The following is an 11505-nucleotide window of genomic DNA, read 5'->3' as shown; positions in this document are numbered from 1 at the left end:
GTGTTTTGCTCTGTGAGAAGGACATGAGGTTCTGGGGTATCAGGGTCAGAATAATATGGGTTGGCTGTGTGTCCCTATAAAACTCACGTGTCATCCTTAATGTTGGAGGTGGGCCAGGTGGGAGGTGATTTAATCTTGGATGGGAGGGGGTTGGAGTGGAAGGAAAAGGAGGGGTAGTGTAGGGAGGAGTAGGTCATCAGTAGGGTGGTGGGAGGGTGGGAGTAACCTGCTGCAGAGGCAGAGGCTCATGGGAAACCTCTACTAGGACAGTGCACCTGTGGCTTTGCAGGGTGTAGCCCCCATGGCTGCTCTCATGGGCTGGGTTGGTGTCGAGTGCCTGTAGCTTTTCTGTACTGAGGGTGTGAGCTGTTGGTGGGCTTATGAACCTGGAGTCTGGAGGATGGTGGCCTCCTGTGTCGGGGCTCAAAGCCTATATTTTCCTTCTGCACTGCCATAGTGGAAGTTTCCTAAGAGGTTCTGCTTCTGCAGGAGGCTTCTGCCTGAAAACAGTGGGCGGTGGTGTGAGTGGAGAATCCTTCACCATTGGTTAGTCTTGATGCTGATGTCCTGATAGTGAGTTCTTATGTGATCTGCTTGTCTAACAGGATGTCACACCTCTTTCCTCTCTCTGTCTTGCTCCTACTCCTGCCATGTGAAACATCTCATTGCCGCTTGGCCTTCTGATATGGTCAGGAGGGGCCTGATCAGTGTGGGCCTGCTCAGTGGACCTAGTCAGTCGGGACTTGGTCAGTGAGGCCTATTTAGTGGGGGGTGGTCAGCAGGGGTCTGCTTAGAGAGGGTCTCATTAGAGGGATCTAGTAGTGCAGGTCTTGGTGAGTGGGTTCCTAGTGGCAGACAAATGTTTGGTGTCTGGTCAATGCCAACCTGGGCTGTGGGACTTGGTCAGTGGAGACCTTGTCAGCTGGGGCTTAGTTGTGGCCTTGTCTGATTGGGCTGGGTTACTGGTGACCAGGTCAAGGGGTGCTATTCAGTGGAGGCCTGGTCACATGGGACCTAGTCAGCAGAGGCGCTTGTCAGTGGGGCCCTGGTGAGGGCAGGCTGCTCAGTGGAACCTAATCAGTGGGGGCCTGGTCAGAGAGGACTTGATCAGTGGTGGCTTTTGTAGCACTGGTCTACGGGGTGACCTGGTCAGCGGGGATCTGAGCAGTGCGTGCCTGTTCAGTGTGGCATACTCATTAGAGTCCCGGTCAGGGGCATCTGGTCACCTCAGACCTGGTTAGCAGGGGCCTGGTCACTGGCAGCCTATTCCCTGGAGGCCTGGTCAGTGGGGCTTCATCTGTGGGACCAGGCAATGGGGTCATGATCGGTGGAACCTGATCAGTGAGGCCTTGTCAGTAATGACCTGGCCAGTGAGGCCTTACCAGTGAGGCCTTGTCAGTAAGGTCCTCATCAGTGGAGTCCTGGTCATTGTGGGCCTGTCAGCGGGAATCTAGTCAGTGAGGCCTCGTGATGGGGGTCTAGTCAGTGAGGGTGTGGTCAGGGAGGATCTGATATGCTGGATCTGGTCAGCAGGGACCTGTTCAGTGGGGGTGCTGAGCACTACAGGGAGATGTCAGGAGAAATGCATGTTATCGAGGGCCCTGTGGACAGCTGGGATGGCCCAGTGGTGTTCAATGGCCCAGTCAAAAGTGGACAAAGCAGGTGTTTGGATGGACCTGGGAGATCTTGCTCAGAGATTCTGACAGGACAAAGGTAAAGGAAGTACCAGAGTGGCCAGAGAGATGGTCACAGTCTATGGGCTGCACAGGATGGAGGAGGCCAGGGAATAGGCAGGGTGGGCAGCTGGGTTTCAGGGAGAGGCATGTGCATGCTGGGAGGTCAGACCCTGTGAGGGCTGTGGGGGCATCAGGTGGACTGGGCACCAGGTGCACCCTCAGTGCACTGGGCAGGTCTTGGCCCAGGCTCCCTGGACCCTGGCTGGGTGATGTGGTCATTTGCTGGGGGACTATTGTCAGGCACTGGCCACCCAACCTGGGTAGCACCGTCCCATCTCAGGACTGCACTTCCTCAGATCCTGCAGAGGGCACAGCCTCCAGCCCAGGAGGGGCAGCCCCATGGTGCAGCCTGAGCTCTCCATGGGCCTGGAGAATCCCCTGCCAGCCCTGCACTCCCTCTTCTCCCAGGTCCCGCTTTTCCAAGGTCAGCCAGTGGGGAGGCCCCATCATCCCTTCCCTATGTGTCTCCTGGGCTGAAACTTGCAGTGCACTGGGACAGGGATGAGGCTTCCCTAAGGCCTATTTAGGGAGGGGACTGGCTTCCAGCCTGGCACAGGTCCTCAGCTCTGCCTTGGTTGCCTTAGAGTGAGATGGATCACTCAGTGCCCTGAAGGTAAGGGTAGGAGACTGTCCCTGCTGTTGGGAGGCTGGTCTAGGGATGGAGGACTTAAGAGGTCTTCCCAGTCTGTCAGGCCTGGGCAGTGCTGTCCTGTCTGAGGACTCAGAAAATCCAGCCCTGGGATGGGACAGTGCTGCCCAGGGTGGGTGGCCAGGGTCTGACAGTAGTCCCCCAGGGAGTGACCACATCACCCAGCCGGGGTCCAGGAAGCCTGGCCTGAGATCTGCCCGTTGCACTGAGGGTGCACCTGGAGCCCACTCCACCTGATGCCCCCACAGCCCTCACAGGGCCTGACCTCCCAGCATGCACCTGCCTCTCCCTGCACCCCAGCTGTCCACGCTGCCTGTTCCCTCACTTTCTCCATCCTGTCCAGCAGGATAGGATGGGCAGGAGGACAGCCTGTGTGCACATTTCATGGCAAGTAGGAGTGACACACCATCCCTGGGAGGCGCCTTGGTTCCTCCCAAACCCGGCCCCAGAACTCTGTCCCTGGGGTGGTTTTACCAAACCCCAAACCCAGAACTGTGGTTGTGGCTCAGGGGTCAGTGCCGGGACACTACTGGGAGGCTGGGACCTGACCAAAGCCCATGGTGTCTGTGGCCTGAGGACAGGGTGTCTTGGGGCCATAAGGACGGCCACAAGTTGCCATTGGGTCACAGGGGCTCAGCCCCAGTGTTTGTCCTTCCCCGGCTCCTTCCCATCAGTGCCCTGGAGCCCAAGACCAAGCATCCAAGGTTCCCTCCAGGAATCCTGGTGGCTCAGCTTACTTTGTCATGTTTCATCTGGGAGCAAAAATGTCAGATCGGATGCACAGAAAAATGGCTCAACATGCTTAATGACTAGAAGAAATCTAGGAGCAGCAAGAAGGTAATGTGGAGAGGGGAGGACCTCCATGGCACCTCCATGACCGGTGTCTGCAGAGCCAGGGGTACAGGCACCCAGTGCTGTGGCCTGGCACCACCTCTCAGAGGGTGGGTAGCACACTCTCCTTACCTGGGGGACAGCAGGCCTGGTCACCAGCTTTTGTACCTGTCTCTGCAAGCATTGCATTACTGGAAGAGAATGTCATGCCAGAGCTTGGACCATGCCTTGCTCAGGGGTTAGGGGTTGTCTCTTGGTGACCTAAATGAAAAAATAGCTCCAGATCATAGTTCCACAGAGCCCAAGGCCGGAAACCTCCAGAATCCTCTGGCCCCAGATCCTCCGGCCCCAGATCCTCCCCAGGGACCCCTGTGGCCTATCTCACCAGAGCATTCTTCCATCTGTAGATTTCTTGGCTGCTCCACAAGGGAGTCCCACTTCAGATGTGGTGCTGGGCATGGTCACTCCTGCTGGATGTTTAGAAGGTGGAAAGCAAGGACCTAGGGAAATACCAGGTACACCCTTTCCACCCTCATCCAGAGCAGGACAAAGAGGCCAGGCGTTGTCAGGAGCCCAGGTCTCCAGCTGGAGGGAACGTCAACCCTGCAGTGGGAGCAGGGGCCCATTGCACATCCTAGGCAGAGATGGTAACGTAGGCACCACAGGTATGCAGGGATTGGTACCCCTCCCTGGCATCAGAAAGAAGCCAAACAAGGAGCTTTCTGCAGAATGAAACCTTCTTTCCTTTCAGAAGCACTGCTGACTGTTTGGTGGTTGCCACTGGGGCAGTGAGCCTTTGGTCCATTCTGAGGTTGGGCTGGTTTCTCCTCTTGGCCCTCCCCTACAGACCATAAAGGAAATCAGCAAGAAGTCCCCAGCAAACATCCACAGATGGCCCTGGACATCAGCCACATTCTGAGAAACATGTCATGTTCTGGGAGGGCTAAGGCATCAAGTAAGGCCTATGGGGCTGGAGGATCCCAGGCAGGTGGGGCAATCCAGAGCCATGGGGGCTTCCCATGGGAATTGGGAGGTCCCAAGGCAGATGCAGGGGTTCCACAGGAGGAGTCCCAGAGCCACCAAGCTCTATCCTTTCCCAGGGAGCAGTCAACACCATGGACTGAACTCTTAATGGGCTTCAAGCTCTGGGCCAGGCTGGGGCATGTGGGGCCATGAGGGAGCTCAGAGTGGGAGACAGAGAGACAAGTGTGCTCAGAGGGCACCCATTTCTGGGTGTAATGTGGTCTTGAGATTTTGGCTAAAAAGTGTTTCCAGGGTTTCATATGTGTTATGGAGCTGCTTCCTCTCCCCAGCCTCACCTTGCAGGAATCCCAGTGAATATATTGCCACCCTATTTGAGCTCAGTGCCCTCATAGTGTAATGGCACCAGCAGATCTGCCTGTGCATGGACTTCCTGTACTACCCATTCCTGACGGTGATGCTTCTGCAGGGCCTGTGACCTGGTGCACAACTTTAGACACCATCATCCTGGAGCAGCACTGCACCCTCACTAGCCAGGGTGTTCATGACTTCCTCAAGGCCAAGGCCACGTTCAAGACTTAAGACTTCAGTGATGCACTTATGCTGGGCAAGGTGGCTTCTCGGGTATCTTAATTTGGGAGGTAGAATGCAGCTTGAGATCAAATGTCTGATCAAAGAACTTGAACTTGATCTGGAGGGCTCTGGGGAGCCATGGAAGGTGCTGGATAAAGGAGGGACAGTCAGATATGTTTTAGAGATGACTGTAGAAGGCTGCCTGGAAGGAGTGAACAAGAGCCAGGAGACCCGGGAGGGAGCTTGTGGGGCAGGTCTGGAGATGGCAAGGGAGGGATTCTGCTTGGATGAAAAGTCTTCAGGGACTGTCTCAGGTTACACTCAGGTGCCCTCAGAGCTAATGTGTTCAGAGGTCTTGTCTCCAGGATGAAAATGGGAAGGAGTTGTCAGATGAGGACATATAAATGGAGGCTGACATCTTCATGAGTACCAGTGGTGGTCCCGGTGTGGGTCTCTCCATCCAGGGACATGGTGGATGGACACTACATCACTCCATTCTGCCCTTCCTTTCCCTCCTCCCATTCTCCTGAGGGCCTCAGTGCATGGGCGCTGTCCAACCTCTGGTGCTGAAGCAGCCAAGAGACCCAAGACTGCGTGGCTGCCTCTTAGGATATGACAGCACAGCCACTGGCCTCTACTGAATCCTATGCAACCTCAGAAGACACCCAGGAGTGATGCCATCATGTGGTGCAAGAGTTCTGAGGGACCGCAATCCTGAAGACATTGAATGGTGGGTACAGGGCCTCATGGCCTGTTCCCCAGCTCCTCTCATTGGCTCTGCTCCAGGTGGTGAAGGGGGATAACATTTCTGTCAATTCTGCCATGACTGCCTAGCAGCAAAAGGAACAGAGCCCAGAAGCAGGGCCTGGTATGCAGCCTGCCTAACAAGGGAGAATTTATAGGCTCTGTGGGCAGAAAGATCTGGGAGTCCATATCTACCACCCACTAGCTTGCTGAGACATTAGTAAAGTCAGTTTTCTGAACTACATTTCTGTCGTCTGTAAATTGAGAGGAATTTCTTCTACCCCACTAGGCTTCTTGGATAATTAGTGACAGTGTGTGTAGAGCAGGTGCCCCCCAGCCGGCATTTGGTGTCCAGACCACTCCTCTTCCCGCTTGATTTTCTGCCTAAATTTGCATTTTGTTCTTAAGATTTTCACTCCCCTTAATTCTGCTTTTCCCTCTGATTTCTGCCTTACTGTATATCCCATGGAGTCACCAGGATCAAAGTGGCTAACAGTCATGTATGCATGTATATGTGTGTACATACACACATTGTTGGGGTTGGAGTGTGGTGTGTGGGTATGTGTATGAGTTGGAATCACTGACTGAAACTCTCCACACCAGGCTGTGTTCCTGCTTATTGCTGGAGGCACTGTCAGGGGCCCTGTCCTCAACCCTGGGTCTGACCCTTGCAGCTCAGGCAGGACATTCTGGAGGAATCATGCCCTTGGAAGGATCCCTGAGGAGTGACTGGTGGGTATTGGTGGATAAATACCCCAGCTCCCTTGCTTTGGGTGGGATGACTCTGAGGCACATGTTCTGTGCTGTCTCTGCAGATGTACCTGGCAGGGCTGAGTCCTGGCTGACACAGGGGAAACTTTCTTGATGAAGGTCCCTTTAACTGCTGCATTCCTTTCCTGTCTCAGTTCCCCACTCCTCTACTGGTGTTTCCTGGGATTTGCATCCTAAGGAAGAACTGGCAGTCGAATTACTATCCTAGAGTTATCTCCAAATAGAATTTTTGTATTTGAATATTTGCCTCAGGATCTACTTCCAGGAAATTTATACTAAGGCACACATTTTTCTGTCAGCTCCTTCAATCCCCGTAGGCCTGCCATTGTGCTGTTTTTATCAAAAGGGAATATGAGGATCAGAGAGGGGAAGTCACTTGCCCAAAGTCACCCAGCTGAACAGTGGTGGAGTTCAACTTTGACCATGGGAAGTCTGGCCCCAAGGTGGATGCTTGTTCCTATCTCATGAGACTCCTCCCTTATCAGGGTCAAATGAATGAATGGAGGATGTTAAAAGTAGAGTGTCTGATGCTTCTGCCAGAGAAACCCCAGGCTCATGGCTGGAACCTGTGTTCTCACTCTTACCTCATTAAGAGTATAATGAAAAACATGCTCAGTGCTGACCGTGTGCCTGGGGGTGTTGTAGGCACTCTGCTTACTTTAATTCATTTAATTTTTACAATAACCTTGTTTTTGCTTCTAGTTGTTAGATTAAAAAACTGTGGCAAAGAGCAATACAGAGAGTTGCCAAAATTCACACCGCTGGTCCAGGTTTGAAGCAAGCAGTCTGTACCTGCAGTCCTTGTCTGTAACCATGGCACCCTGGCTTCTCACACCTCTCATCGTGGAGTTCCACCATGTGTCAGGCATGGCACTGAGCACCTTCTTTTAAGAATATAATTTGTAATTATGTAGATTATTAATTCTACTTCAAAATGCCACACAGCCTTCATGTGATAAAATGAAACAATTGGTGAGTCTAAGCATTGAGAAAAAACGTTCTTTTTTCCACTCCCTACTCCATTCCAACAGTTGGGACAGTGTTTTCTCTGTGCCTGTAGAAACCTCAGCTCCTGTGCTGAGGAACCTGTTCCCTTTGGGGAATGTGGCAGTCAGGTACTGGCAGGGACCTCGAAGTGGCTGAAGGGTCATTAAGAAAAAGCTGTTTACAAAGGTGTGGGCAGGGCCAAGGGGAACCAGGGGGGATGGCGCAGGGCCCTGGGGTTAGCGTCATCTGGGAGCTGTCACCACCCTCCAGGCTGGTGGGGCCATGAAGAAGCTGTTCCAGTAACTCGGAGAATCTGCAGCTGAAAGAGGAGGCCAGAGGAGACATCACTCACTGTGCCCTTTGACTGCCTCTGGATGCCCCCACTGACCACACTACCATTCCCTTATTAGACTGGAGAGGCTGCAGGGAGGGGTTCTAAGCCTCCTATAGTGACTCACCTCCAACAATGAGTCAGCACCATCCCTCCTAGCCCCACAGCACAGGGTCCACTTAGCCCTTGTATCCTGCGTGGTCCCCTTTCCTGCTGGGAAACAGATATCCAAATGAGCAGCAGAATCCTGTCTCTCCCTTCAGGCTCCTCTGCTCCTTATGAGTGGTGTTTTCCCTTGGTTTTGGATGAGAAACACCCTTTCCCCTTCCACAGGGATTGTTTCTGTGGACCCCACCCTGAGTTTTCCCCTGGTTAGGCAATGGGCAGGTGGGGGTGGTGGGACCAACTCTTTAGAACCAGCAATGACAAACAGATCCCACTTGGGGGGAGTTGATGTTAAGTGTCATGGGTCCTCTGGAATTTTCTGAAGCTTTCCTGTTTTTTTTTTTCTCCCCCTAACCAGCTCAACTGATCTGGGATCTCTACTAAGATGTTGGCAGCCCAGCCAGCTGGTCTGGCCCTGGACGTGCCTTCATGGTCTGGTTATGCTTCATGACCTGCACTGTGGTCAGTGGTAAGCAGCACCTGCTTCTAGCTTTACTGTTGGGTCAGATTTTATCTGCACTCCAGCTCTGCAGTGCGGCTGCTTCTTGATTCATCCATGGACCCTTCACGAAATTGCCCCATGTTTCTGTTTGTGCATCACTGAAGAAGGAAGCACGAAGGACGCACAGGTCAGGCCATTCCATTGCCCTCCTGGTGCTGGGTTTGCCCTCCCAATCCTGGGGTTGCTTCAGGGGCTGGTCGTTCTCCATAGCCCCCTCCACATTTCTCAGGTTTCTGCTCAAAAGTCACCTTTCGGAGGGGTCTCCACCTGTCACTGTGTTTGTAAGAGCTCCTTCGGTTTCTTTCTAGCTCATCTCACTCTGGTAATGTCTTTGATTATCACCACCATCTGACCTGGTCTTATGACCTGTTAGCTTCCTTCGTCAGACGTGAGCACCAGGATGGCAGGGGCCTCATCTGTCCTGTTCCTCCTGTGGCCTGGGTCGTAGCACCATGTCTGGTACAGTGTAGATGCTCAAGGGAAGTTTACTTTGTAGAACTGTTTACCTGGGAGATGTTACTGTTAGTCTAACCTGTACCATTTTGTAAACCTCCAGCCATTTTGCAGACTCTGATCACAGTGAAACGTTCCATGGGAACTTGGGCCATGAGAAACATCCTTCCTAACCACGTGACTGCAGAAACATCCTTATCGCATCTTCCTGGGCAAAGGCCCAACAGCCTGACTGCAGGGACATCCTTGCCATATCCTGCTGGGCAGCAAGCTCTACCACCCAGATCCCTCCCTCCCAGTCCCATGATTACCCCAGCCTGTGAGCGGCAATTGGTGCTGGCACTAAGCTGGTTTCCTCCTCCCCAGGGTTTTGCTGGCAATAAAGATGTTGCTGTTGAAGCCACCAACTATCTCTTTCTGTCTTTCTTTAACCCTCGCCTTGCCTTCCAAACCTAACAATAACTCTACCTCTCCATTTTACCAATGAGGATATGGGACTCAAGGAGAGCAAGAGACTTACCCAGTGAGTCACAGAGCCTGAACTTGAACTCAGTTCAGCTGAATCCAGAACTTATTTCTCCCTGAGAGTCCAGGGAAGGAAAGGTGGAACTGCAGCCAGTAGGTGCCCACATGCTTGTCCTAGAAGACCCCAGGTGGGCTCCTGGGAATTGCATCTTCATGCACACAAAAGAAGAACTGCTCACTGGTGTCATGTCAGCTAAGGGTCCCCATTGTCCCAAATTGTTACTTCTCTTCAAAGTTTTGTTTTAATAATTACAGTTCTCACAGCTCAGTGTTGAATACAGAGCACAGAGGCATGTAGAAAGTCGTGTGTGGGTTTTTCTCAATTATTTTCCCAGTGACTACATCAATGAGTGTACAAAAGAACACAAATATGCTCATACTTTTTATATAGAGATGAGGCCCTCCCTCCCATATTTCTCTGCCACTATTCTTCCATTTTTTTTTCATGTGAGGACCACTCTTTCAATACTAGTCCATGTGATTGGGGAGAGGCTGGCCACCCTGGGCAATCCGCAGGGTAATTAACTCAGGGATGGGCATGTGATCCAAGCTGGGCTGATGGAAGTCATCCCTGCACTTTTGATGAAACTGCTGGGAATGGGGTGCTTTCTTTTTATTGGCATAGCTATTTGCAAGGAAGTAAATGATGTGGAATTTATGGGGCCATTTTTGCTGTTCTCTCAAAATAGCTTGCATGAAAAGCAGAGCTGACACAGGAAATGAAGGGACAGAATGAGTCTTGGCTGATATTAGTTCACCCCTGATCTCACTGAGCCAGAAGCCCATATACTTAAGGATATTTTTAGTAATTAGAGTCAAGTAATTCAATGTTCTCCTGGATCGAGTAGGTTTCAGTCACTTGCAGTTAAGAGATTCCTGCGTAATAGCAATTTCTCTTATGGTTAGGTCCCACCTGCCAGAGCTTTAGAGCTGTAGAAGGTATAAAGTAAACCCAGGCAGTGCTGAGCTAGCCAGGCTCCTGGATAAGTGTGCAAAGGAACCCTGGAATCACTACCACTTTGGTCTGACAAGTAGCCTTGCCTGCTGCTTACCATACAGCCATAGGGGTACTGTTTCCCTGAGCCCTTAGGCATTATACCACTTTTTAAAAATGATTTTTATCTAAGAAAATGTTTTGTAGAGATGGTGTCTTGCTATGTTGCCCAGGCTTGTCTTGAACTCCTGGCCTAAAGTGCTGAGATTACAAGCATGAGCCACTGTGCTTAGCCAGCACTATACTTCTATTAGTTGTCAATGTTTTCTTTGTTCTGTAGTTTCTAGCGTGTGCTTGAGCATGTGTGTGTGTGTGAGTGTGTGTGTGTGAGTGTGTATGAGTTTTTAGTTTGATCTTGTAGGGTTATTTCAAGCATCAAGTGGGGTCCTTTAGTCACAGCACTCAGCCCAGTGACTGGCACATATGGTAAGCTCTCTCTGTTCTCCTCTTTTCTCCTCCTGATTCAGAGAATGACTTAAGGATCTGTGATGTGTGCCAATTTTCAATGCCCTGGATACATAATGGGGAGATGAAGTACTGTTGCCAGAAATTTGCACTAGTTTTAATTCATTTTATCTGTTTAGCAATGAGATATCTCAAAGTAACTGAATAAATTTATTTCATATATATATACATACACATAAGTATGTTTCTTGAGAGCCGACAGGCTTAGTTTTTGTTCGCTGATGGTGCAGTAGAGGCCACTGTGTTCTGATTTCTTGAGTGATGGCTGCCAGCTCTCCAAGTGTCACAGTTGGTGAGGCATCCACGGGGGTGAGCACCAAGGATGTGTGGCCAGTCAGCATCTGCAAGCCCATTTTGTCTATTCTCTTTATTTTTATAATATGTTTTATTCATTTTTAGGTTTATCATTTAATTTATTATAAGTATCTCTCCTAAAATTGTTTCTTAGTTCTGCTAAGGGTTAGTTTTATGAAACAAGTCCAGAAATAGTCCAGGGCAGCCATGGATACCCAGCATGCCACTGGGGAGTGAGAAATCTTGTATATTGAAGATTGTGTTGTTGGGACCATCATTCCAATGGTCTTCAAGGTGCTAAACTGGACTCAGGGCATTTCATCCTATTTCCAGAGAGCAGCAAGCAGCGAGAGCAAAGGGAACATGATTAAGGGAAAAGAGGAACAATAACTCTTCCCTTTCCAAACAGATTTTCAGAAATCCAAACCAGTGAATTCTGCATTTCACATTGACCAAGACTATAAGCTCTGCTCACTGCAGTTATGAGAAAAACTGGGAAACTCA

General features: G+C 51.0%; 1 long non-coding RNA gene and 1 pseudogene across 1 annotated transcript; both read left to right on the top strand.

The window, feature by feature from the left end:
* CYP4F34P (cytochrome P450 family 4 subfamily F member 34, pseudogene) lies at positions 4529 to 5318 on the top strand (annotated as a pseudogene).
* On the top strand, positions 7131 to 9130 carry LINC00417 (long intergenic non-protein coding RNA 417). The gene is made up of 3 exons (NR_047508.1): positions 7131 to 7257; positions 8127 to 8237; positions 8827 to 9130. It is a non-coding gene; the product is annotated as a long intergenic non-protein coding RNA 417 (long non-coding RNA).
* The last annotated feature ends 2375 nt before the right edge of the window (positions 9131 to 11505 follow it).

The sequence above is a fragment of the Homo sapiens genome, chromosome 13 (genome assembly GCF_000001405.40).
Source record: "Homo sapiens chromosome 13, GRCh38.p14 Primary Assembly".
Classification (NCBI taxonomy): Eukaryota; Metazoa; Chordata; class Mammalia; order Primates; family Hominidae; genus Homo; species Homo sapiens.
The sequence above is the reverse complement of the archived record's forward strand: the minus strand, read 5'-3'. Positions and strand labels throughout refer to the sequence as shown.